We start from the raw sequence: 26142 nt of genomic DNA, 5'->3' as shown, positions 1-26142 counted from the left end.
TATATGTATTCATGCTTGTTAAACATGTTTTAAACTTTTTTATGTATTTATTTATTTTAAGACAGATTGCATTTATTTATTTATTTATTTATTTTAAGACAGAGTCTCACTCTGTCTCCAAGGCTGGAGTGCAGTGGCGAGATCTCAGCTCACTGCAACCTCCGCCTCCCGGGTTCAAGGGATTCTCCTGCCTCAGCCTCCCAAGTAGCTGGGACTACAGTTGCCCACCACCAGGCTCAGCTAATTTTTGTATTTTTAGTAGAGACAGGGTTTCTCTATGTTGGCCAGGCTGGTCTTGAACTCCTGACCTCAGGTGAGCCGCCTGCCTCGGCCGCCCAAAATGCTGGGATTACAGGCGTGAGCCACCACACCCGGCCACTTTAAATCTTTTTGTTTGTTTGTTTTGTTTTGAGAGAGAGTTTTGCTCTTGTTGCCCAGGCTAGAGTGCAATGGCACGATCTTGGCTCACTGCCACCTCTGCCCTCTGGGTTCAAGTGATTCTCGTACCTCAGCCTTCCAAGTAGCTGGAATTACAGGCATGTGCCACCACGCCCAGCTAATTTTTTTGTATTTTTAGTAGAGACGGGGTTTCTCCATGTTGGCCAGGCTGGTCTTAAACTCCTGACCTCAGGTGATCCACCTGCCTCAGCCACCCAAAATGCTGGGATTACAGGCATAAGCTACCGTGCCCAGCCACTTAAAACCTTTTTAAATGTTATCTGGGCAATGCATTCACCAATATAGTATCATTGGAAAGGCGAGAATGACAGGATCACTAGAACGAATTATGCCTCTCCGCTTCACACCCTGTTTCAATTGTCCTCCATTCTCCTGGGAACCCCTGTTAATAGTTTTTGGTTCATTCTACCTGCCAGTTATCTCAATATTTTAAGGAATGCCGCTATTTTTTTTCCTAGTAGAATCATAAAATAAAGGGTTGTACCACTTGCCTTTTCCCCCTTAATGATTTGTCCTGGGGGATACTTCTGGGTTGGTTCCTCTTTGATTTTCTGCACAGCCTGCGTTGCATTGTGGACCAGAGCTCATTTCACCTGCGGGAGCATCTGTTTCTTTTTTGACATCTATGGAGAGGGAATCCACTATTGTCTGGATGCTGGTGGGAGGCCAGGCTTTGCTCCTTGTTAGACAGACCCAAAGAGACAGATACTTGTCTTCGTTGCATTGCCGTCAAGATGTGAAGTGATGATTTATGCCTGACCTCAAAGATGTCTTATCAGGGACCTTCAAAATTCTGAGGGAAGGATGTAACAAAACAAAAAAAGTTCAGTAGTTATTCGTGATGGAAGCAAGAATGCTTCAACAGAGTCTGGGGTCTACAGGTAATTCAACAAAGCTGTGTCCTAAGCAGGCTGTGTATAACTGGGGCATGGCAGGTATACACATGGACTTCTTATCCACCAGCCTTCATGGGGTTCTACTTATAATTCCCTAATCTTCTCATCCTTTATCTGACCTGCCCGATATCTATTAAATTTCTTCAATCAACTAGAGTCTGTTTCTCTTGCTGGCAACCAACAACTGTACATAACCCTTAACCATCAACCTATAAATTGATTCCAACTCATTCCCAGTGTTTTGCAAATAAATACCTTTTTGCAGCCAATTCCCTTTACACAGTCTTTGTGCACCTGCGACCTGCAGGCTACACTCCTACACATTGAATTGCTGGTTCAATGGATGGGTACTTTTTTAATCTCTCCAAATAATGTGTAAATGGGCCATCTAGAGTTGATGTTACCAGTTTCCACCCTTAACAGAGAATCCTTTTGCCCGATACCCTGAAACGTGTCAGTATTGTCCATTTTCTTTGTATGTTTGCCAAATGTATGGACAATTATGGCCTCTTTTTTTTTAATGTTGTATTTCTTTCCTTATCTGGCATGTTGATTATCTTTTCACAAAAGCACTTACCATTTGTAATTATTTGGTACGGTGTACATTGCTGAGGTCAGGTGTATAGGGAAATGCTATTTCTTAGTGAAGGATGAAAAAAAGTTTTTATTTTAAAGAGGAAAAAAAAAAGCTGCCATGTGGGAGACCTGAGAAGCCTCCTGAGATGTCAGACATTGGGGGTTTCATTGACAGTTTCAGCCACTGCTCTGAAACCCACTGGAACACCGGCCACAGAGACCACATGTGCACGGCTGCCCCAACACCCCAGGACTGACTCTGCAGGGATACTGAGGCAGACCCATCCCTGGGAGAAGCAGCAGCAGCACTCCTAACTTTGGATCCAAGATTCCTGGCGGCCGTGCCAACAAGCTATGCAAACAGCATTGCAGCCTTAGTTCTCTCTCTCGTCTCCTTCACTTCCTGCGGCATGGTTAGAGCTGCAGCAGTCAGATGTGCAGTGAGATGAGCACTGCGTGGGGTCTGGTCAGAGCTGCAGGATGGTCAAAGCTGAAGCAAGATCAGATGTAAGGTCTGCACAGAGCTGCAGGATGGTTACAGCTGAAGTGTAGTCGGATCTACAGTAGGGTCAGAGCTGTGGCACAATCAGACCTGCACTATGGTCAGAGCTGAGATATGGTCAGAGTTGCGGTATGATCACAGCTGCAGTACAGTCAGAGCTGAGATACGCTCAAAGCTGTGCTATGCTCAGAGCTGTGGTATGATTAGAGCTCCAGGATAGCGAGATCTACAGCATAGTGAGAGCTACGGTAGAGTCAGAGCTGTGCTATGGCCAGATCTGTGCTATGGTCAGAGCTGAGGTATGGTCACAGTTGCGGTATAGTCAGAGCTGTGCTATGCTGAGAGCTGCCGTACAGTCAGAGCTGCGGTATGATTGGAGCTGTGCTGTGGCAGGAGCTGCAATATGGTCTCAGCTGCAGTATAGTCCAATCTACAGTAAAGTCAGAGCTGGGGTATAGTCAGAGCTGTGCTGTGGTCGGAGCCGTGGTATGGTCAGAGCTGCAGTATGGAGTTTGAGGCTGCAGTGAGCTACGATTGCACCACTGTACTCCAGCCTGAGCAATAGAGCAGGACCCCCTCTCAAAATAATGATAAGATTAATAATAATAGTTCAGTTTTGCAATTTTTTTCTAACAAATGTAAAATAGTACTAATTCATAACGACTCTAACCCATCAGTCTCTCCTGTTGCTAGCCAAGTTCAGCTGCCAACTTCAGTGTCCAGCTATGTAGCAAATGCCACCTATACTGAGAGGGCTCAGTAGAGCATGAGGACTTTGAGAGCTTTCTGAGATAAATCAAACCGAAGAGTCACAGCTCTGAGTGTGTATTCAACCACCTAAATTTAATTCAACATAAGCAGATGGTTTGTAAGTGCTATGGTTAGAATATGGTTTGCCCTTACCAAAAGTCATGTTGAGGCTGGGTCCCCAATGTAAGAGTGTTTAGATGAGGCTCTGCCCTCGTGAATGGATTAATCCCTTCATGAATTAATCAATTAATGAGTTATCTAAGGTGTGGGTTAGTTATCAGAAGAGCAGGTCTGTGATCAAAAGCCAGGTTGTTTTTCTCGGAGGCCTGCCCCATCTCAAAACTCTCCAGAGAGAGTCCCCACTAGCAAGAAGGTCCTCACCAGATGCAGCTCCTCATTGTTGGACTTCCCAGCCTCCAGAACTGTCATAAGTATATTTCTTTTCGTTACAAATTACCGAGTCTTAGGTATTCGGTCATAGCAACAAAAAACAGACTAAGATAGTGAGTGTTCCAGTATGCCACGGTGAGTTTCATTTTACATCCTCTATCATGCTTCTGCTAGATGGCCTGATTTGTCTATAGGTGAGTTTCATTTTACATCCATTATTTCCTGCTTCTGCTAGAGGGCCTGATTTGTCTATAGGTGAGTTTCATTTTTACATCCATTCTTTCATGCTTCTGCTAGATGGCCTGATTTGTCTATAGGTGAGTTTCATTTTACATCCATTCTTTCCTGTTTCTGCTAGAGGGTCTGATTTGTCTATAGGTGAGTTTCATTTTTACATCCATTCTTTCATGCTTCTGCTAGAGGGCCTGATTTGTCTATAGGTGAGTTTCATTTTACATCCATTATTTCATGCTTCTGCTAGAGGGTCTGATTTGTCTATAGGTGAGTTTCATTTTACATCCATTCTTTCATGCTTCTGCTAGATGGCCTGATTTGTCTATAACCATCAGCTCTTTTAAGATGGCCCTGAATTTCTTTTAGAATTTTAAGGTAATGAATGCCCCTGGGAAGGTTTAAAAACTCACAAATCATGTCAAAATCGGTTTCAATCAAATACCAACCCTTTACTTCAGAATTTATCTGAGCTTCTGTTAGAATACAAGCCATCCAGGGAAGGAGGAAGGATCTTAGGTTTTTACCAACAGTGACCTTGGGCAAAGATTTCTTCCCTTTTCAAGTTTCTCCTAAGTTTAGTGGGGATGTGCATGAAGAGTGAGATGATCTCTGTAGAAGATTCTGCCCACTACCACCTTCTTTGCCATAGGAGGATTTTTGTCATCAGTCACTCCCTCTTTTCACCGAATTTCCAGCATTCTTTTCAAAATAGTCCTCCAGACCCCGGTGTGCTAAGTCCACCCCGGGTAGAAATTCCCTAGCAAGCCACAGATATGTCACAAATGCTATGGACGAGAGTGCTCCCAGGTACCTGATTGACAGTATCTGCAAATGGGAAACTTCTGAAATGCCCATCAGCAGCAGAGTGGATCAATAAGTCTCGATGTGTTGACCCAAGAAAATGCTAAACGTCGTTGACAATGAAACAGCTATATTGACACGCCATGACATGGATGAATCTCACAAACATCATCTTAGGCAGAAAAGGCTGAATTATACCCTGAACCCCCAAAATCACCTACTCTATATGATGTATTTGCATGAAGTATGAAAATGTTCAAAACTACCAGCAGCGTTAGAAGACCGTGATGGCAGCAGAGGGATGGTGACTGTCAGCAGGCGTGTGTGGAGCTCTCCAGGGAGCTGCTAGTGGTGAGTCACCATCTGGATCTCAGTCTGTTTATGGGTAGTTTCATTTGGGGAAATAACCTGGGCATGCTCTTTTGATCTAAGAATGCTTTCCATCTATGCTGTGCATTGATACGTTATAAAAGAGCCCTCCACGCATTCCTTACCTATGAATTTTTTTTTTTTTTTTTTTGAGATGGAGTCTTGCTCTGTTTCCCAGGCTGGAGTGCAGTGGTGCAATCTTAGCTCACTGCAAGCTCTGCCTTCCCCGGTTCACGCCATTCTCCTGTCTCAGCCTCCTGAGTAGCTGGGACTACAGGCTCCCACCACCATGCCCAGCTAATTTTTGTATTTTTAGTAGAGACGGGGTTTCACCGTGTTAGCAAGGATGGTCTCGATCTCCTGACCTCGTGATCCGCCTGCCTCGGCCTCCCAAAGTACTGGGATTACAGGCATGAGCCACCGCACCCGGCCAACCAATGAATCTTAATTCCCTCGCGTGATAAACTAAGGACAAGCACCAGCAAGGAAAAGATAAGCTTTAGTGCACAATTAAGCGAATTAAAACAGAGACCGCCAGCCCTGCCAGCAACACTCGCAGACACAGTAATAATGCCTGTGATTTCTTCATGTTTTCCCAAGAAGAAAGCTCACCAAAGCATAGTTACATCCAGTGCCTGTGGTTGGTAGATGCTGCATTCGGTACCGGATCCCCTTGGGAAAAAAACAACAACAACAGATGAACTGGGCTTACAGGCAGCAGAACAAAGACGGATGAAGGATAGAAACTCATTCTTCTCCCTGTTCTTCCCACTTACCCAGTGCTTAACGCCAAAGTCTGCTTTCTGAGCTTCTAGTTTCTCTCTTTAAGTCTCAAAAGTAGACTATGTGACTCTTGTGTCATGAGTATGTCTAACTAGTCTTTGGAGTAAAACCAAAACAAATCTAGCATTTCAGTTGATTAATTCTGTATTCTTATGTAGGATATTATTTTAACACAATGTTGGGAATTTCCCTCTTCCCCACCCCAAAATGCTGCAGGACAAGTCATTCCCCAATGTAGGTGGTATGACTACATTTATACTTGTCACATATTTCAATGTGTTACATTTGCCTGAAATCATAATTAAAACACGATTCGGAACTAAATTTGGGGCTTGCATCTGCTATGACCTTACCATTTGCCTAAGCCCAAATTCTTCCTCGGCAGCACAAAATTGACACTTTTCTGAAACTCAGGTTGTTCCCTGACACGGGAGAACAGCCTGCCTGCTGAAATTAAGGGGTGACACTTGGACTGCAGCCTGGCTGTCTGAGACCTTCAGGAGCAGAGAAGAGAAGCATAGCTGCACGGCAGGGTGAGGCGATGTCAACAGAGGCACGTTGCTCCCCTGACAAATGCAATGAACCTCCAAATCTGACATTTCCAGAAGGTAAACAAACTTAGCTGAGCTGTCTGCGTTCCCTGGAGCAGCTCTGAAGGTCTTTGCTGCCTGCTTTGAAGATGGTGACTCAGTGCTTCCTACAATGAAATTTATTCCAAGGGCTGCAAAGGCACAGTTGAAAAGCCGACCCTACCATCAGCATCAAAGCTACCTCAGGAAACAACAGGGCTGATGGCACCTCAGCTACATGTGTGTCTAATTACTATCAAAGAATCAGAATCAAGATAACCAGGAACCCAGTCCATCCTCACCCTGCTTGCTTCCTGTGGGCAGAAGCCTGGTGATTACAAGCTCTCAGCCACACTGACTGAAGCTGCAAACCCAGAACTGTCATAAACTTTTCCAGGCATGCACAGCTAGTCCTGAAACCCTCTAGGTCTCAGTTGGTGCACCTGTAACTTCAGATAATAATGGTGTAACCATGATGAGAAGGCTGTAAAATTAAACGAGGCAACGCACATAAAGGAAGCTCTTGGGATAGCCCCTTAGACACTGCAAGAGCTGGGTAAATGTCAACTATCACTGTTATGATTTTAGTTATTAACAAGAGTAAGCTCTGCCTCCAGTTCCCCAAGGTACCCTGAGCTGTAAAATCCAGGAGGCTCCAAATCCAGGAGGCTCCTACATCTGGATGATATGGATGAATCTCACAAACATCATATTGGGCAGAAAAAGCCGAATTATACCTTCAGCCCACAAAAGGAATCAACGACTGAGACTTTTGCTGAACAAAACTGGGGTAGGCAACATTTGGGACTGTCCTTACCACGTCTCAACCTGTATTCCATGGCCTCCCTTTTCCCTAGCTCCTGAAACGTCAGGTCCTGCCACTGGGAACTGTTGCCATGGTGCCCCAACAAAGTCTGCCCCCATGTGGTTGGCCCTAGGAACATTTTTCTTCTACCAGTCATGTCTTCTCAACCTGCCATCGGAAAGTATTCAACACCGGCTGAGTGCGATGGCCCACACCTGTAATCCCAGCAATCTGGGAGGCCAAGGTGGGAGGATTGCTTGAGGTCAGGAGTTCAAGGCCAGCCTGGGCAACATCACTGTGTTGCTCAGGCTGGAGTGCAGTGGGTGCAATCATGGCTCCCTGTAGCCTCAAACTCCTAGGCTCAAACAATCCTCCCACCTCAGCCTTCAAAGTAGCTGGGACTACAAGTGTGCACCATTACACCTGGCTATTTTTTATTTTTTTTGTACAGATGAAGATCTCAGCATTACAATATCAGCCAGCTGTGGTGGCACAGAGCTGTGGTTCCAGCTACTCAGAAGGCTGAGTTGAGGGGATATCTTGAGCCCAGGAGTTCAAGGGGGCTGTGAGCTATGTGATTGCCACTGCGCTTCAGCATGGGCAGCAGAGGAAGACTCTGTCTCAAAGAAAAAACAAAAAGGTATCCATCACTGAGGTCTCAACACCACAAGTATACAAGCATCTTGTTGTGAGCTGATTAATTTGATTCCTCCAAATAAGACCATTTTCAAATCATGTAGTGAGACCTGGATCTCTCCATGGGATACCTTTAACAGGGAATTTTTAGGACGCTCAAGTTTCAGCAGTATTCAGCTCTGATCTTTAACCTTACTAGACTAAAATGTGGTCACCCCTACAGCACAGCCAGGGAACATGTCCTGGAAAATGTCTTCATTGGGTCATTTTCCTTCATCTGTCCACTCTGTGTCTAGACCTCCCTGAACACATTGCTTGGGAAACAAGCAAAATTAAGCTGCTGCCTCTTTATATGAATGCTCTTGTACAAGTGCCAAATGATTTGTTAAGTCCTTGCACCAAGGAATACAAGGTAGAAAATGCTCGTGGAACTAAGGGTCTATATTATTAGCTAGTGTTTTTTGCACAAAGCAGCGTTTTCATTCTATTAACACACAGCTCAACAAAGTAATTCGATGAAAAGTAAATTGTCAATATGTGTATTAGTCAGGACAGACCAGGTGATGCTGCTATAACAAACAATCCCAGAATCTCAGCAGCTAACATCACCAAAGTCTGTTTCTCACCCATACCACCTGCTCACCAATGGGGGCTTCACTATTTGTCATCTTAAGACTAGGACCCAGGGGGATAAAGCAGCCCTGTTCTGGAATACTTCCACTCTCAGGGAGGGAGAGAGAGAACAAAAGATGTTCTCCAAATAGGAACGCTTTTACACTGTTGAGTGTAAATTAGTTCAACCATTGTGGAAGACAGTGGGGCAATTCTTCAAGGATCTAGAACCAGAAATGCCATTTGACCCAGCAATCCCATTACTGCGCAAATACCCAAAGTATTGTAAATCATTCTGCCATAAAGACACATGCACACGTATGTTTATTGCAGCACTATTTACAATAGCAAAAACAGTGAACCAACCCAAATGCCCATCAATGATAGACTGGATAAAGAAAATGTGGCACATATATACTATGAATTACTAAGCAGCCATAAAAAAGAATGAGTTCATGTCCTTTGCAAGGACATGGATGAAGCTGGAAGCCATCATTCTCAGCAAACTAACACAGACACAGAAAACCAAACACCACATGTTCTCACTCATAAGTAGGAGTTGAACAATGAGATCACATGGACACAGGGAGGGGAACATCATACACCAGGGCCTGTCAGGGGGTTGAGGGTGAGGGGAGGGAGAACATTAGGACAAATACCTAACGCACGTGGGGCTTAAAACCTAGATGATGGGTTGATAGGTGCAGGAAACCATCATGGCACATGTACACCAGTATAACAAACCTGCACGTTCTGCAGATGTATCCCAGAACTTAAAGTAAAATAAATATTTTCAAAAAATTATGTTCTCCAAGGGCAACCACGACCCAGGCTTCTGGGAGGAAGTGACACACCTCACTTCTGCTCAAATTCACAGTCCTTGGTGGTGTCTGAATTTAGTGGCATGGAAAAGTGTGATTCTCTGAAGCCAGGGGCACCTATATTTGTAAGCGATGAAAAAATTCTACTGTAAGAAGAAAATAAAAAATGGTTCGTACTTTACTACTCACCTGTATTCTGCTAACAGGAGGGGAAAAGTTGAAGCTTTTGAGATACATCACCAGAAAAAAAAAAAAAAAAAGCCATCAGAAAATAATACGTTCTTGATCCAGAAATTTCAAAGGCAGTTTTCTGCCAAGAGAGGGCTATGAAAATGCATCACTGGCTTTTATGGGGTTTGCAGGAATAAAAACATTCCCTTCTGTATATGACACAAAATCAAAGGTAATTGACGTGTTTCTAAAAAATTCCCCGTTTTACTTCTGTAACAAAAAAGAACAATAATAGCTAAGCTGAACAGATGTCAGTAGAACCTATTTTCCCAAGCTAACGACAAAACATCCCTCCTCAAAATCCCAGCCACTACAAACTGTTAAAGCTGCATATCTTACTGCTCTTATATTTAAGATGTCAGGAGGATGTGAATTTTTAATTAAGCCAGTCTTGTGAAAAGGCCTCACACATTATATATGGTTGGTTGCAAAATGGATCTTCGCACAAAGACAAGTGCTTGGGAATGATGTGTTTCATTTAGGAGATAGATCAGCAGGGATACTACAAATTTGCACTCTGAATCTTCCTTCCAATAGAAATCTCCCAATAGAAATAGGGTTTTGAGGAGTATATTACTTGGCTAAAGCCTCCATAACAAATCACCACAGACTGGGTGACTTAAACAATATATACTTATTTCCCACAGTCCTGGAGGCTAGAAATCTGAGATCAAGGTGTGGGCAGGGCTGGTTCCTCCTGAGGCGTCTCTCCTGGGGTTGTAGACACTGTCTTCTCCCTGTGTTCTCACAGGGTCGTCCCTCTGTGTGCGTCTGAATCTTCATCTCCTCTGCTTATGGGATGTCTTAGTCCATTTCAGGCTGCTAGCACAGAATACCATAGACTTAGTGGCTTATAAACAACAGACATTGATTCTCCCAAGTCTTGGAGGCTGGAAGTCCCAGATCCAGGTGAGGGCAGGGCTGGTTCCTCCTGAGGCCTCTCTCCTGGGCTTGGAGACACTGTCTTCTCCCTGTGTCCTCACAGGGTCATCCCTGTGTGTGTGTCTGTGTCCTCGTCTCTTCTTCTTATGGGATGTCTTAGTCCATTTCAGGCTGCTATCACAGAATATCATAGACTCGGTGGCTTATAAACAACAGACATTGATTCTCCCACAGTCCTAGAGGCTGGAAGTCTGAGATCCAGGTGTGGGCAGGGCTGGTTCCTCCTGAGGCCTCTCTCCTGGGCTTGGAGACACTGTCTTCTCCCTGTGTCCTCACAGGGTCATCCCTCTGTGTGTGTTTGTGTCCTCATCTCCTTTTCTTGTAAAGATACCATAGCTATAGGAGCAGGGCTCACCCTAATAACCTCATTGTGCCTTAATCACCTCTTTAAAGACCCCATCTCCAAACACAGTCACAGTCTGAAGTCCTGGGGATCAAGACTTCCATGTATAAAATTGGAGACGGACACAATTTGGCCCATAACAGGCAGTTGGCAACCCCAGGAGCCCAGAATAAGAGCTGTTGCTCCAGGAAACCTGTAAAACCCATCCGACATGTCTCTGCTCCTACAGTCTCGCTTTTGTCAGTCAGTCACCCCTCCAGCCCCGATCTCTCCCCCAGTGTCTGGTGTCTTTAGGAAGAGAGTTAACAGAGGACCGAAGTGTGAGCACTTGTTTCCGAAGAGTCTGTTGTCTGGAATATTTATGTGGTCAGAAGGGAGAAGTGATTTTTACAAGAGAGAAAGACAAGCCATCCCCGAGGTTTGGAGAGGATGACGGAACGATTGATGTGAAATGCCTGGTAGACTTTCAATCATGTCATTTCCAAGCACATCTCCCAAATCTCCAAATGAGCATATGTGTCAGGCTTTTGAGGAGTATATTAGTTGGCTAAGGCCGCCATTACAAAGGACCACAGACCAGGTCGTTTAAACAATAGGTATTTATTTCCCAGAGTTCTGGAGGCTGGAAGTCTGAGATCAAGGCATTGCAGGGCTGCTTCCTCCTGCAGCCTCTCTCCTTGGCTTGTAGATGCCATCTTCTCCCTGAGAACTCACAGGGTCTTCCATCTGTGTGTGTCTGTGTCCTCCTCTCCTCATTTCAGCCCTACATGAAAAGGTAGCTATGAGTATGGGGCCCTGTCTTAGTCCATTTTATGTTGCCAGAAAGGAACACCTGAGGCTGGGTATTTTATAAAGTAGTTCATTTGGCTCACAGTTCTGTAGGCTGTACAAGAAGCTTAGCACCAGCATCTTCTTCTCAAGAAGGATCTTGAGGACCTCAAGGAGCTTCCACTCATGACGGAAGGCAGAGGGGAGCCAGTGTGTAGAGATCACACAGAGACACAGGAAGAAAGAGAGACGGGTTGGAGGTGCCAGACTCTTCTGACAAGCATTTCTTGAGGGAATTGATAGAGTGAGAACTCACTCAGCCCTGAGGGAGGGCATTAATCTATTCAGGAGGGAACCACCCTCAGGACCCAAACATCTCCCACTACCCCCACCTCCAACACTGGAGATCAAATTTCAACATGACATTTGGTGGGAACAAATAACCCATATCCAAACTACGGTAACTCCCAAAGGTTAGCAGTTTCACGGATACATATTGAACTTTTTCCCAAAGCCGTTGCCTTCCTTGAACATCAGCTGAGCAAAGGGTAATCTCCCAAATTCACAAGATCAACATAGCTCTTGGTCAGTCTCTGATAAAACAGAATTATCTCCTCTGTGATGAATTACTGGCTCTGTACAGATAATTTCACCCCAAAATATGGCTCCTTTGCAAAACGAATATTTTAAATTAAAAACCCTTAAAGATTAAAAGACCTTGGAAGGGACTTTTCCCCATTGACATAAAAACCAGAGACATCCACCAAGTAAAACATTTTTTTTTTCCGTTCTGTATTAGTCTGTTCTCACGCTGCTAATGAAGACATATCCAAGACTAGGTAATGTATAAAGGAAACAGGTTTAATGGACTCACAGTTCCACATGGCTGGGGAAGACTCACAATCATGGCGGAAGGCAAAGGAGGAGAAAAAGCACATCTTCCATGGCGGCAGGCAAGAGGGCATGTGCAGCGGAACCTGGCTTTATAAAACCATCAGATCCTGTGAGACTTAATCACTATCATAAGAACAACACAGGAAGCACCTGCCCCCCATCATTCAATGACCTCCCACAGGGTCCCTCCCTGAACATGTCGGGATTATTACAATTCACTTTCCCTCCCTCCCTGGGATCTTCTTCTTGACTACAGGAAAGAACGTTAAGATGTAAGCCCGCTCAAACAGACTTTTTTACAAAGTAATGACTGGTCTCCAAGGAGTATTTAATTTCCAAAGGGAACCATTAATAAGTCAATCTCTGTTTCCTCCCCCTATTCATTCTCCCAAGTATCCATTCAATCTTCCTAGTCATCACTTATTACCACTCAACAGAATTACCTACATTCCCATGTCCCCTCTCGCCACCTGAAAGGAGGTTACAGAAGTATTTTGCCCCCATTGGGAGATTGAGTATACACTCTGTGATTCTCTTCATGCTCACAGTTTAAAAAAAAAAAAAATTGTATGTCTTTTCTCTGATTAATCTTCCTCATGATGAGTTGATTTGCAGTAAGCCCCACAAGGGCAAAGGACAAGATTTCCCTTGGGAAGCCAAAATAGCTGCTAGGCGACAAACTGTCAGGGAAGGAAGTGTGTGCTGAGAGCAAGCATCCGTTTCTTTCACCATGCATCTTCCAGATGGCCAAGGGCAGCTCTGAAAATACTTGTGAAGAAAAGAACACAACAATGAAGCTGGGATAGAGAGGCACCTGCCTGGAAACTTAATAAGCATGATGTTTGTTGGGTGTTTCCTTACCATGGTGGGCTAGATAGGGTCCTGAAAACAGTATGTTCATGCCGTAATCCCTGGAACGTAGTGTCAGAGGCGTTGGGACCAGAGTGAATGTATCTTGAATACAGAGCTGGGTAAAATGAGGCTGAGACGTACTGGGCTGCATTCCCAGGAGGTTAGGCATTGTAAGTCACAGGATGAGATAGGAGGTCGGCACAAGATACAGGCCATAAAGACCCTGCTGATTAAACAGGTTGTAGTAAAGAAGCCGGACAAATCCCACCAAATCCAAGATGGCAAAGAGAGCAACCTCTGGTCATCCTCACTGCTCTTTATACACTAATTATAACGTGTTAGCATGCTCAAAGACACTCCCACCAGCGCCAGGACAGTTTACAAATGCCATGGCCATGACTCAAAGTTACCCTGTATGGTCTAAAAGGGGGAGGAACCCTTCACTCTGGGAAATCTCCTCCACTGTGCAGAAAAACTCATCAATAATCCACCTTGTTTACCATACCATCAAGAAACAACCACAAAAATATCCAACCAGCAGCCCTCAGGGCTGCTCTGCGATGGAGTAGCTATTCTTTATTTCTTTACTTACTTTTTCTTTTTTGAGATGGAGATTCACTCTTGTTGCCCAGGCTGGAGTGCAGTGGCGCCATCTTGGCTCACTGCAACCTCCACCTGCTGGATTCAAGCAATTCTCCTGCCTCAGCCTCCCAAGTAGCTGGGATTTGCAGGCATGTGCCACCACACCCGGCTGATTTTGTATTTTTAATAGAGACAGGGTTTCACCATGTTGGTCAGGCTGGTCTCGAACTCTTGGCCTCAAGTGATCTACCCGCCTTGGCCTCCCAAAGTGTTAGGATTACAGGCATGAGCCACTGCGCCCAGCCTATTCCTTTACTTTCTTAAGAAACTTGCTTTCACTCTAGTCTAGGGACTTGCCCCAAATTCTTTCTTGCCTGAGGTCCAAGAACCCTCTCTTGGGGTCTGGAGAGGGACCCTTTTTTTTTTTTCTTTTTCTTCTTTTTTGAGACGGAATCTTGTTCTGTCACCCAAGGCTGGAGTGCAGTGGCGTGATCTCGGCTCACTGCAAGCTCTGTCTCCTGGGTTCACACCATTCTCCTGCCTCAGCCTCCGGAGTAGCTGGGACCACAGGTGCCCACCACCATGCCCGGCTAATTCTTTGTATTTTTAGTAAAGACGGGGTTTCACCGTGTTAGCCAGGATGGTCTCGATGTCCTGACCTTGTGATCTGCCTGCCTCAGCCTCCCATAGTGCTGGGATGACAGGCGTGAACCACTGCACCTGACCCGAGAGGGAGCCCTTTTAGTAACACTAGGATTGTGACCTACAGGACCAGGACATATGCCTCCCCTGATAAGCCAATCCTAGGGTAGCCCTGTGCAGTTTCAGGACCAATTTTCCTTCCAACAAGCTCTCAATGCTCTTCTCCACAGGCACATCAAGCTCCTGTGCTACTCCAAGCAAAGCAGACGCAGACTGTCCCCCGAAGGGCATCTGGCACGGGCAAAGATTCTCTGATGTCTCTTCAGATGTTTGCATAAGGATTTGCTTATGCAACTGAGAAAAGAGGAGAATCCTGTTTCTTCCTTATGTTCAATGACAGGAAGAGTGGGAGTTTGCTTGTGTGGAGATAAGCTCTGTGCTCTTGAGCTCACCTTGTAGGAGAAGGAATATGCCAGGAAGATCCACAGATGCTCTCTTATCCCTCCCTTTTCTTTCCAGGCTGGAAGTCCCTTCCAAGAACAGCGAGACTGCAATTCATAACCGTAAAGCAGGAACGTAAGGTGGGTTTGCATGTTAACAGCACGAATCAACACTAACCGGAGAAATTACGGGAAAAATGATGGGATGGTGCGTCCTGAGAAACGACGGTGCTTTGGGTTGAGTGAGCTGGTGAGTGAACACGAGGTGAACAGTGGATGTCGCTTTTTCGTTATCATTGGAAACATCTGATTGATCACAACAAGCTTTTCTTTTTTTTTTTTTTTCTTTTTTTGAGACTGAGTCTCCCTCTGTCACCAGGCTGGAGTGCAATGGCATGATCTCGGCTCACTGCAACCTCCACCTGCTGGGTTCAAGCGATTCTCCTGCCTCAGCCCCCCGAGTAGCTGGGGCTACAGGCGCCCGCCACCATGCCCAGCTAATTTTTTGTAGAGATGGGGTTTCACCATGTTGGTCAGGCTGGTCTCGAACTCCTGACCTCGTGATCCGTTCCCCGCCCCCACCCCCCCTTGGCCTCCCAAAATGCTGGGACTACAGGCGAGAGCCACCGTGCCTGGCCACAGGAAGCTTTTCTAAATTACATTTATGTGAGCTTCCCTGCAGGTCACTGTGATACATGAAGGGAACCCTAAAGGGTAAATATTTTTGTCTTTTCTTTTCCTCGTGATTTTTCTCCACTGGGAGACAGGAGTCAATACAAACATCAAAGGGCTATGTCGTCTATTTCATTAGGATAAAATAAGTTACCTGGAATTCTGCCAAGAGCTTTGGAGAAGGAAAGTTAACTACACCGGCGCGGTGGCTCACGCCTGTAATCCCAGCACTTTGGGAGGCCAAGCAAGGCAGGCGGATCACCTGAGGTCCAAGGTTCGAGACCAGCCTGGCAACATGGTGAAACTTGGTCTTTACTAAAAATACAAAAATTAGCCGGGCATGGTGGCAGGTGCCTGTAGTTCCAGCTGATCAGCAGGCTGAGGCAGGAGAATCACTTGAACCCAGGAGGCAGAGGTTGCAGTGAGCCAAGATCGTGCCACTACACTATTACAGCCTGGGCGACAGAGCAAAACTCCAAAATCACACGCACACACACAAAATGTAAAGAATAAGCTGGGTACAGGGGCTCATACCTGTAATCCCAGCACATTGGGAGGCCAAGGCAGGCAGATCACCTGAGGTCAGGAGTTCGAGACCAGCCTGGCCGACATGGTGAAACTTAGTCTTTACTAAAAATACAAAAATTAGCCGGGCATGGTGACGCATGCCTGTAGTTACAGCTGATCAGCAGGCTGAGGCAGGAGAATTGCTTGAACCCAGGAGGCAGAGGTTGCAGTGAGCTGAGATCCTGCCACTACACTATTCCAGTCTGGGTGACAGAGCAAGACTCCAAAATAACATGCATACACACACACAAAATTTAAAGAATAGGCTGGGTGCAGGGGCTCAGGCCTGTAATCCCAGCATGTTGGGAGGCCGAGGTAGGCAGATCACCTGAGGTCAGGAGTTCGACACCAGCCTGGCCAACATGGTGAAACTCTGTCTCTACTAAAAATACAAAAAGTAGCCAAGCATGGTGGCGCACGCCTGTAATCCCAACTAATCAGGAGGCTGAGGCAGGAGAATCACTTGAACCCAGGAGGCAGAGGTTGCAGTGAGCCAAGATCGTGCCACTGCACTATTCCAGCCTGGGTGACAGAGCAAGACTCCAACTCACACACACACACACACAAGAAAAATTTAAAGAATAGGCCAGATGCAGTAGATCATGCCTGTAATCCCAGAACTTTGGGAGGCTGAGGCGGGCAGATCACCTGAGGTCAGGAGTTCAAGACCAGCCCGGCCAACATGGTGAAACCCTGTCTTTACTAAAAATATAAAAATTAGCCAGACATGGTGGCACACGCCTGTAGTCCCAGCTAATCAGGAGATTGAGGCAGGAGAATCGCTTGAACCCAGGAGGCAGAGGTTGCAGTGAGCCAAGATCGTGCCACTGCACTATTCCAGCCTGGGTGACAGAGCAAGACTCCAACTCACACACACACACACACACACACACACACAAGAAAAATTTAAAGAATAGGCCAGATGCAGTGGCTCATGCCTGTAATCCCAGCACTTTGGGAGGCCGAGGCATGCAGATCACCTGAGGTCCAGAGTTTGAGACCAGTCTGGCCAACATGGTGAAACTCTGTCTTTACTAAAAATACAAAAATTAGCCAGGCATGGTGATGTATGCCTGTAGTTCCAGCTAATCAGGAGGCTGAGGCAGGAGAATCGCTTGACCCCAGGAGACGGAGGTTGCAATGACCAAAGATCACACCACTGAACTACTCCAGCCTGGGCGACAGAGTGAGACTCCAACTCTCACACACAGACACACATACAATTTAAAGAATAGGCCAAGTGCAGTGGCTCATGCCCATAATCCCAGCAGTTTCAGAGGCCAAGGAGGGTGGATCACTTGAGCCCAGGAGTTCGAGACCAGCCTGGGCAACATAGTGAGACCCCTGTCTCTACAGAAAATATAAAAATTACCTAGGCATGGTGTTGCACACTTGTGGTCCCAGCTACTTGGGAGGCTGAGACAGGATGATCACTTGGGCCCAGGAGGTGGAAACAGCAGTGAGCCAAGATCGCACCACTGCATTTCAGCCTGGGCCACAGAGAGATCCTGTCACACACACACACACACACACACACACACACACACACACACAAACCCAAATTAAAAAATACAATTCTGGCCAGTCACGGGGGCTCATGCCTGTAATCCCAGCACTTTGGGAGGCCGAGGCGGGCGGATCACCTGAGGTCAGGAGTTTGAGACCAGCCTGGCCAAGATGGTGAAACCCCCTCTCTACTAAAAATACAAAAATTAGCCAGGCGAGGTGGTGCGTGCCTGTAACCCCAGTGGCTGGGCACGGTGGCTCCTGCCTGTAATCCCAGCACTTTGGGAGGCCAATCACTTTGGAGGGGGCGGATCACAAGTTCAGGAGTTCGAGACCAGCTTGGCCAATATGGTGAAACCCTATCTCTACTAAAAATACAAAAATTAGCCAGGCGAGGTGGGGCGTGCCTGTAATCCCAGCTACTCGGGAGGCTGAGGCAGAAGAATCACTTGAACCCGGGACACGGAGGTTGCAGTGAGCCGAGATCGTGCCACTGCACTCCAGCCTAGGCAACAAAGAGAGACTCCATCTCAAAAAAAAAAAAAAAAAAAAAAAATACACTTCTCACGTTTCCAACGGACTGAATGGGTCCCCTGTTGGCCAAGGGGTTCTCAAAGCAACCTGAGAAGCTAGTTCAGGCCATGACAGGAAATGGGGGTTGGACCTGCCTCCCTTGGAAGTTTAGGCACCACTGACCAGCATTAACATTTAAAACAGAGAGTTTAAGATGGACCAGACTTTTTGTGCAATGAGATCCCAAACTCCGATTTGACTCTGGTAGAGCGTTACATGACAGATAGCAGGCCTTGAAGGAATCAAAGTATTTGACCCCAATGGCCCTGCAAAGCCATTTCTTCTGTAGAGATGTACAAGGTCCTTTCTGGAGATTCTGACAGCTGTTAACGCCCAATAGGACAAGTTCACCATCCATTCCCTCTGTAGCCTGCTATCTGGAGGCTTCATCTACATAACAAAAACCTTGGCTTCTGCAGCCCCCTTTCTCTAAACCCAAGCATTTCTCTCCCGTGATTTCAAACTTTGCAGGCAGAGCTTGACCCTTTCAAGCACTTGCCAATCAAGAAGTCATTTCTTCTTTTTTTTTTTTGGAGACAGAGTCTAACTCTGTCACCAAGGCTGGAGTGCAGTGGGGCAATCTTGGCTCACTGCAACCTCCACCTCCCAGGTTCAAGTGATTCTCATGCCTCAGCCTCCCAAGTAACTGGGATTACAAGCATGTACCACCATACCCAGCTAATTTTGTTTTTGCATTTTTAGTAGAGACAGAGTTTTGCTATGTTGTCCAGGCTGGTCTCAAACTCCTGGCCTCAACTGTTCCACCTGACTTGGCCTCCCAAAGTGCTGGGATTACAGGTGTGAACCACCATTCCTGGCCTAAGAAATCTTTAAATTCACCTATGACCTGGAAGCCTGTCCCCTCTTTTTGAGCTAAACCAATGTGTCCCTTCCATGTGCTGATTTATGTGTCTGCCTGTAACTTCTGTCTCCCTAAAAGGTATAAAACTAAGCTGTAGGCTGGGCACAGTGGCTCACGCCTGTAATCCCAGCACTTTGGGTGGCTGAGGCGGGCGGATCACAAGGTCAAGAGATTGAGACCATCCTGGCTAACACAGTGAAACCCTGTCTCTACTAAAAATACAAAAATTAGCCAGGTGAGCTGGCGGGCACCTGTAGTCCCAGCTACTCAGGAGGCTGAGGCAGAAGAATGGTGTGAACCCAGAAGGCGGAGGTTGCAGCAACCCAAGATCGCACCACTGCACTCCAGCATGGGCGACAGAGCAGGACTCCGTCTCAAAAAAAAAAAAAAAAACAAAAAACAAACAAAAACAAAAACAAAAACAAAAAAACAAACTAAGCTGTAACCCAACCATGTTGGGCCCATGTTCTCAGAACCTTCTAAGGCTGTGTCATGGACCATGGTCCTTAATCAATGTAGAGGTTTATTTTGCCAAGGTTAAGACCTGTCTCAGAGGCCTTTTGGTTTGCAAATACATGCAAGTTATACATCTGTTTAAATCTAAAATGGTGAGATGTCTTGAAGTGAGGGCTTATGGGTCATAGGTAGATTCAAAGATGTTTCTGATTTGTAATTGGTTAAGGAAGGGAAGACTTATTTAGAAATCTGGGGTCAGCAGAACTAAAATGTTAACTGGCTTGTGGGGTGACTCTCTGCAGGACCCTCAGGAAGAAATTTATTTTTTTTATTTTTATTTTTTGAGATGGAGTCTCACTCTGTCACCCAGGCTGGAGTGCCGTGGCACGATCTCGGCTCACTGCAAGCTCTGCCTCCCGGGTTCACGCCATTCTCCTGCCTCAGCCTCCCGAGTAGCTGGGACTACAGGCACCTGCCACCACGCCTGGCTAATTTTTTTGTATTTTTAGTAGAGACGGGGTTTCACCGTGTTAGCCAGGATGGTCTCGATCTCCTGACCTCGTGATCCGCCTGCCTCGGCCTCCCAAAGTGCTGGGATGACAGGTGTGAGCCACCGTGCCCGTCCTCAGGAAGAAATTTAGAACAAAGCATGATGGCCAAAGCTCAGAGTTCCCACTCCCCTTGTCTTGGGTCTAAGTGCCAGTGCCACCCCCAATTCTTGTGCCTGCTTTTCCCAGCTCCGTGGGGGCCCCAAGTTCAGAGTCAGGTTTATGAGGGATGCTTCAACCTTCTGCTGTAGGAGAAACTGTAGACCCAGACACGGAGCCTGGAGGTTCAGCCCGAGTCCTGGTCACCAAGTTTTGTCCTCAATCTTTCTATAAACCATGGCTCTGAGGTGGAGCAGAGACCCTTCTTTTTAGGGGCCTGCAGAACTCACGTGTGAAAATAAAGGAAAATCTTGAGTTTCTACATGGAAAATTCCAGGTATCTAGCTAGCCTCAGATATAAAGAAGTAACTTGATAAACAAGAAGGTAATAGGCCAGGCAGGGTGGCTCATGCCTGTAATCCCAGCACTTTGGGAGGTTGAGATGGAAGGATCACTGGAGGCCAGGAGTTTGAGACCAGCCTGGGCAACATATAGGGAAACTCTGTCTCTACAAAAATTTTAAAAATTTAGCCAGGCATGGTGGCTCATGCCTATGGTCCCAGCTACTTGAGAGGCTGAGGTGGGAGGATTGCTTGAGCCCAGGAGTTTGAGGCTGCAGTTAGCTATGATTGTACTCACTGCACTCCGGCCTGGGTGACAGAGCAAGACCTTCTCTGAAAAAGAGGAGTGGGGAGGAGGGAGAAGGAGGAGAAAGAGGAGGAGGAGGAGGAGGAGAAAGCGGAGGAGGAGGAGGGAGAAAGCGGAGGAGGGAGAAAGCGGAGGAGGGAGAAAGCGGAGGAGGGAGAAAGCGGAGGAGGGAGAAAGCGGAGGAGGGAGAAAGCGGAGGAGGGAGAAAGCGGAGGAGGGAGAAAGCGGAGGAGGGAGAAAGCGGAGGAGGGAGAAAGCGGAGGAGGGAGAAAGCGGAGGAGGGAGAAAGAGGAGGAGGGAGAAAGGAGGAGGGAGAAAGAGGAGGAGGGAGAAAGAGGAGGAGGGAGGAGGAGGAAGAGGAGGAGGAAGAGGGAGAGAAGAGGAGGGAGAGAAGAGGAGGGAGAGAAAGAGGAGGGAGAGAAAGAGGAGGGAGAGAAAGAGGAGGAGGAGGGGGAGGGGGGAAGGAGGGGGAGGGGGGAAGGAGGGGGAAGGAAGAGGAAGTGGAGGGAGAAGAGGAGGGGGAGACGAAGGAGGAGGGAGAAGAGGAGGACGAGGAAGGAGGAGAAAGAGGAGGAGGAGAAAGAGGAGGAGGGAGAAGAGGAGGAGGGAGAAAGAGGAGGGAGAAAGAGGAGGGAGAAAGAGGAGAACGAGGAGGAGGAGCAGAAAGAGAAGGAGGGAGGAGAGGAGGGAGAAGAGGGAGAAGGAGAAACAGGATAAGAAGAAAGGAGGAGGAGGGAAAAGAGTGGGGGAAAGGAAGAGAAAGTGGAGGAGGAAGAAGAGGAGAAGAGGAGGAGGAAGAGGAAGAGGAGGAGGAGGAGGAGGGGGAGGAGGAGGAGGGGGAGGGGGAGGAGGGGGAGAAGAGGAGGAGGAGAACGATGAGGATGAAGGGGAGGAGGAAGGAGGAGGAGGAGGGAAGGGAAGGAGGGGGAGGAGGGAAGGGAAGGAGGGGGAGGAGGAGGAGAAGTGGAGGGAGAAGAGAAGGGGGAGAAAGAGGAACAGGAAGACAGGAAGAGAAGAAGGAGGGGGAAAGAAGGAGGAGGAGAAGAAAAAGGAGAAAACCAAACCACAGCATGCCCTGAGAAGGCAGAACATTCCATGAAGCTCTGAAGAAGTTAGCAAATGCTGCCTGAGAACGGATGTGCTCTCTCGGTTTTAACGGCTCCAGCATTAACTCAGTCAGGAAAGACAGAGCTCGGGGAAAGTTAAGTGTGACCTTATTCAGATGTGAAGAATTAGGCCAGGGGCAGTGGCTCACCCCTATACTCCTAGCAGTTTGGGAGGTCGAGGCAGGTAGATCACTTGAGGTCATGAGTTCGAGACCAGCCTGACCAACATGGTGAAACCCTGTCTCTACTAAAAATACAAAAATTACCTGGGCGTGGTGGCACATGCCTGTAATCCCAGCTACTCTGGAGGCTGAGGCAGGACAATCGCTTGAACCCAGGAGGCAGAGGTTGCAGTGAGCCGAGATCGCACCATTACACTCCAGCCTGGGCAACGAGAGCGAAACTCCATCTCAAAAAAAAAAAAGAAAGAAAAAGAAAAAAAGGCATGAAAAACTAGTGTTAGCAGGATCATAAACTTCCCGAGTGGTGATAACAGACAGACCCTGCAGAGAAGTTGCCAAGCCTCATCCTACTCACCCACCGCTCATCTCCAGCCTGAGAAGCTCAAGATTGAACTCTCCAGTCTGAGGACTGAGAAGAAAACATGGCAAGAAATGATCTGGCTGCAGAAGGTCCCTGTCCGAGACTTCAAATACCGATCCTGGAGAATGTGCTTCAGGTCTCGAAGCACCCGCTTCTCTTCAATTCTACTTTCTGACCATTTGGTGCAAAAAGCTGGCCAGGTTTGGCTTTTGCAAAAGACGCATTTGCCACAACCAGAGATTCGTACCTGCGGCACGCTCACCTTGCTGTTCCCTGAGGATGTCTCACATGAGGCAACGGGTCGGTGGGTGGTTTGCTGGATCACGTGCAAACCCAGGCAAAGAGGATCTGCTATTGCAGACTTCATTTCTGCAGCCTTGGAAAGCCGTCTCAGGCCGGGCGCGGTGGCTCACGCCTGTAATCCCAGCACTTTGGGGGGCTGAGGCGGGTGGATCACGAGGTCAGAAGTTCAAGACCAGACTGCTCAACATGGTGAAACCCCATCTCTACTAAAAATACAAAAAAAAAAAAATTAGCCGGGTGTGGTCGTGGGCGCCTGTAATCCCAGCTACTCGGGAGGCTGAGGGCAGGAGAATCGCTTGAACCCAGGAGACGGAGGTTGCAGTGAGCCAAGATGACCAATGCACTCCAGCCTGGGCGACAAAGCAAGACTCTGTCTCAAAAATAAATAAATAAATAAAGGAAAGCCATCTCAAATCTGCCTCTCGGAGGCTCACAGACAGACGCGAGCCGGTTTCTGTGCTATGAACGCTGACAGTTCGTCTTCACAGTCCAGACCCATCTACTTCACCCGTCCTTCAGAACCATGTCATCTCTGTGACTCAACTTATACATGAGTGGGCAGACTGCTCCTTGCTTCAGCCCAGGAGGCTCAATGCCCTCTCTTGGCTTGAAGGGAATGACAGAGAATCTCCCCCACTCCTTTTTTTTTTTTTTGAGTTAGAGTCTCACTCTCTCACCCAGGCTGCAGTGCAGTGGTGCCATCTTGACTCACTGCAACCTCCACCTCCTGGGTTCAAGTAATTCTCCTGCCTCAGCCTCCCGAGTCGCTGGGACTACAGTCACCCGCCACCAAGCCTGGCAAAGTTTTGTAATTTTAGTAGAGACGGGGTTTCACCATATTGGCCAGGCTGATCTCGAACCCCTGACCCTCAGGTGATCGGCCTGCCTCAGCCTCCCAAAGTGCTGGGATTACAGGAGTGAACCACGGCGCCCGGCCCCCTCTCCTTTTTTTCTTCAATGCCGAGAGCAGCAGCTTAGTAGACGGGTGAGGCACAGACCTTTGCTGAGTGGGCTAAAAAACAGGATGCATCTGGCTGGGCATGGTGGCTCACACCTGCAATCCCAGCACTTTGGGGGGTTGAGGCAGGCAGATTACCTGAGGTCAGGTGTTCCAGACCAGGGCCAACATGGTGAAACCCCGTCTCTACTAAAAGTACAAAAATTAGGCGGGCATGGTGGCATGCACCTGTAATCCCAGCTACTCAGGAGGCTGAGGCAGGAGAATCGCTTGAACCCAGGAGGCGGAGGTTGCAGTGAGCCGAGATTGCACCACTGCACTCCAGCCTGGGCGACAGAGCGAGACTCCAACTTAAAAAAATAAATAAAGAAAAACAGGATGCATCCAGCTTGTCTCACACACTCTACCCTGGGTTTATATTTATTTTCCACGAGGAAACATCCAAAATCAGGGGTCAGAGTCAAGGTTCCCCACCTTGTCCATGACGAGATGGGCCAGTCCACATCACAGGCACAGGTAGGAGACCCCAACACAGTGTCCACTGTTCACATTCTAAAGGTGACTGTCGGCCAGGCACGGTGGTTCACGTCTGTCATCCCAGCAATTTGGGAGGCCGAGGCGAGCAGATCATCCAAGGTCAGGAGTTCGAGACCAGCCTGGCCAACACGGTGAAACCCCATCTCTACTAAAAATACAAAAAATTAGCCAGGCGTGGTGGCACATGTCTGTAATCCCAGCACTTTGGGAGGCCGAGGCAGGCAGATCACGAGGTCAGGAGATTGAGACCATCCTGGCTAACATGGTGAAACCCCATGGCTAAAAATACAAAAAATTAGCCAGGTGTGGTGGCGGGCGCCTGTAGTCCCAGCTACTGGGGAGGCTGAGGCAGGAGAATGGCGAGAACACGGGAGGTGGAGCTTGCAGTGAGCCGAGATTGAGGCACTGAACTCCAGCCTGGGAGACAGCGAGACTCCGTCTCAAAAAAAAAAAAAAAAAAAAAAAAGAGTTGGAGACCAGCCTCACCAACATGGCGAACCCCGTCCCTACTAAAAATACAAAAATTAGCTGGGCATGGTGATGGGCGCCTATAATCCCAGCTACTCAGGAGGCTGAGGCAGGAGAATCCCTTGAACCTGGGAAGTGGAGGTTGCAGTGAGCCGAGATGCCGCCACTGCACTCCAGCCTGGGTGACAGTTTAAGACTCAGTCTCAAAAAATAATAATACTAATGAATACATAAATAAAAAATAAAGGTGACTGTCGGACCTCATCCCACCGCCAAAATGCACCTGCTGTGTCTAGTGTGCCTATTAGAGAGAAGAGGAGGCACTAGTGATTTCCATCTGGAACCTGCGGCATGTACAACCTCAACTTTCTGTCTACGCTGTGATGTGCGCCCTCAGAAGACTCCATCTCTGCACCTGACACGCAAATACCCAGGAGAGAGGGGGCAGATGAATAGCCACCGTCTTCTGTAGTTTATAAAAATGCTAGTTGTTCGCTTGAGGTCAGGAGTTCGAGACCAGCCTGGCCAACATGGTGAAACCCCGTCTCTACTAAAAATACAAAAATTAGGCTGGGTGTGGTGGGGGCACCTGTCATCCCAGCTACTCAGGACGGTGAGGCAGGAAAGTCGCTTGGACCCGGGAGGTGGAGGTTGCAGTGAGCCAAGATCACACCACTGCACTCCAGCCGGGTGATAGAGTGAGACTCCGTCACAAAAACAAAGAAACAAACCAACAACAACAACAACAAAACTCTAGTTGTGATATTTAGGGCCCATCTAAACAATCCAGGATGATCTCATGTTGAGAGGCTTAATTGTGACAGCAAAGACCCTTTTTTTTTTTTTTTTTTTTTTTTTTTTTTTTTTTTGAAATGGAGTCTTGCTCTGTCACCAGGCTGGAGTGCAGTGGCCTGATCTCGGCTCACTGCAACTTCCGCCTCCTGGGTTCAAGCAATTCTCTTGCCTCAGCCTCCCAAGTTGCTGGGATAACAGGCATGCACCACCGTGCCCGGCTAATTTTTGTATTTTTAGTAGAGACAGGGTTTCACCATGTGGGCCAGGCTGGTCTCAAACTCCTGACCTCGTGATCCACCCACCTCGGCCTCCCAAAGTGCTGGGATTACAAGCGTGAGCCACCGCACCCGGCCGACCCTTTTTTTTTTTTTTAAATAAAGTCACCTTCCCAGGTTTTAGGGAGAAGGGCACGGACTTATCTTTTGGGAGATGCCATTTAAAGCACTATGGTTGTTATCAGGCAGGTTCTTCAGAGGGGAGAAGAAACTGGATATTCCCGTGCCTCAGAGGAGCTAGGGGCCTGATATCAAAAGAGTAACAGAAAGTTAGCAGGCTCCAGCAGAAAGGAAGCACAGACATATCTACCCCAGCCAGCCCCTAAGAC

The 26142-nt window shown here is 47.4% G+C and overlaps 1 long non-coding RNA gene across 6 annotated transcripts; it reads right to left on the bottom strand.

The window, feature by feature from the left end:
- Positions 1–951: 951 nt before the first annotated feature.
- LINC02968 (long intergenic non-protein coding RNA 2968) lies at positions 952–24517 on the bottom strand. 6 transcript variants are annotated; one of them, XR_007068480.1, is made up of 8 exons: positions 24213–24463; positions 22725–22986; positions 14910–15005; positions 13243–13653; positions 12362–13149; positions 9393–9644; positions 5590–5649; positions 952–1252 (listed from the first exon to the last, which is right to left on the bottom strand). It is a non-coding gene; the product is annotated as a long intergenic non-protein coding RNA 2968 (long non-coding RNA). The 6 variants fall into 6 exon arrangements; XR_007068478.1 differs by having other exon boundaries at positions 13243–13459; positions 22740–22986; positions 24213–24380; XR_007068477.1 differs by having other exon boundaries at positions 13243–13456; positions 22740–22986; positions 24213–24380.
- Positions 24518–26142: the final 1625 nt, after the last annotated feature.

The sequence above is a fragment of the Homo sapiens genome, chromosome Y (genome assembly GCF_000001405.40).
Source record: "Homo sapiens chromosome Y, GRCh38.p14 Primary Assembly".
NCBI lineage: Eukaryota > Metazoa > Chordata > Mammalia > Primates > Hominidae > Homo > Homo sapiens.
The sequence above is the reverse complement of the archived record's forward strand: the minus strand, read 5'-3'. Positions and strand labels throughout refer to the sequence as shown.